Source organism: Homo sapiens, chromosome X (genome assembly GCF_000001405.40).
Source record: "Homo sapiens chromosome X, GRCh38.p14 Primary Assembly".
NCBI classification, from domain to species: Eukaryota; Metazoa; Chordata; class Mammalia; order Primates; family Hominidae; genus Homo; species Homo sapiens.
This window is the reverse complement of record NC_000023.11, coordinates 90,188,325-90,190,064: the sequence shown is the minus strand read 5'-3', so window position 1 is coordinate 90,190,064 and position 1,740 is coordinate 90,188,325. Positions and strand designations below refer to the sequence as shown.

Below are 1,740 nucleotides of genomic sequence, written 5' to 3'. Positions count from 1 at the left end.
CTCTTTTAATGTGGAGAATTGAGAGTGGAAAATTGGAGGTCAATACCTAAAAAGTTTGGCAATATTTCTAATCACCATAATTAGGAATCAACAACACACATTGAAAACATCCAGAAATTTTCTGTGTCCTTTCAGGACTTTACTTTTTTAGTGAGATACTTTACATGTAATATAAAAGGGAGGAATGGAAATATAATATAGTGGTATGTTGATTAAACTATCACATCAAGGATTCAGTGCCTAGTCTTAGAATTGGAAAAGGCTTTCTTCTGTTTGTTCCTTAGGATGACAGTCACAGTGGAGAAGAAGGTAGTAGAAAGTTTTATTTAGAGCCACTTTTATTCTTATTTCCTGCAGTTAATTTTTTAGTATTATTAATAAATAAAAAGAAATTTTGTGTTTAAAAAATTTGAAATTTGGTGAATGAATATGACATTACCAATACTTTGACGAAAGGCAGAAACTGTGTTTAACTGTAGTTTTTTAATTAATAACCTGTAGAAGGTTAATAAAAGGAAATAGATTCCTTTTATGTATATGTATGTATATAAAATACCTAAACTCAAGAGCAAGACAATGATAAAGAAGCAATTCGTAGGGAAAATAATAACACCATTCTTAAATATTTCAAGTGCCTAAGGATGTCAGGAAAAAGCTTTCAAAGTCTGATGAATTCTTCAGTATTTTCTCCTGCTGCTCTTGTATTCACATTTTCCATTTAAGAGAATGCAAGGTCATTGTTTTGCCTTAAGCACTCCTGTTATTCTTACCTTCATTGCCTTTTCACTTGGAAATCTCTAGGATTGAAATTCCCTTCATCTTTCCTCTGCTAAGAAAACACCCATTCTGTCTTCAAAATTCAAATAAGGTTCCAAATCCTATGTAAAACCTTCCTGTGCCTCCCCTTTCCCATCACAATTAATTACCTTTCTCTCATTTCTGTATCTTGAAAATTAGTAAATTATCATATGAATCACAGTGCACTTTATTTATTTGTTGCTTGCCTGGTGTTCCTTAATTGTTGCTTGCCTGGTGTTCCTTAAAGAATGTGAATCTCTGAAGGGCAGCAAATTTTTTTTAGTCCTGTTTGTATCCACAGTCTGTAGTGTTGTGTTAGCACAGAAAGACATTTACTGGAATCTTGTTTAGCTGATCCAAAGCTGAACGTAGACTAAAGAAGGTAAGCAAGTACATGAAATTGATGATATTATAGGCAGGAGTAATATGAAATTGAAGAAAATATGTCATATGTAACTTTGAAATTAAATAGAACAGCAGAACAGAGAGAGGCAAATGGTCATAACAGATTTTATTGTGATGGCAAAAAATCTCTAAAAAATATGTACTATTTTGTAAATATTTTTACTTTTTGGGAAATAGAGTGTTTCATTTTTATAACTTAATAATAGAAGACACATGCCTGATTTTCATGCATTACTCTCTTTCACTTATTCAGCATGAAGTAAAATTTAAGGATTCTAGCCACCTGTCAAACAAAGCATTAACATTAAATTGACAGTTCTGTTAGATCTGTGTGTACTGTCAGTACAGACAGGAAGATTTTTAAGGCAAGTCTTTAGCTTAAACATGTAGATTACAAACATTCCTGTTTAGATGTAAACTAGAAAAACGGCTGTTAGAGATGAGTGAAAATCGATACAGAGGCAATCTCAAGGCATATTAGCTTACTTATCTCAGACCATTCCTGTCTCCAGTCGTCTCACAATTATAAAACCAATG

At 32.3% G+C, this 1,740-nt stretch overlaps 1 annotated feature.

The window, feature by feature from the left end:
* Positions 373–1,208: an enhancer, noted in NCBI's record as "OCT4-NANOG hESC enhancer chrX:89443856-89444691 (GRCh37/hg19 assembly coordinates)". NCBI's record gives its function as "activates a minimal SCP1, AML or CMV promoter by ChIP-STARR-seq in primed H9 embryonic stem cells {active_cell/tissue: H9 hESC(primed)}" and the evidence as "EXISTENCE:reporter gene assay evidence [ECO:0000049][PMID:30033119]".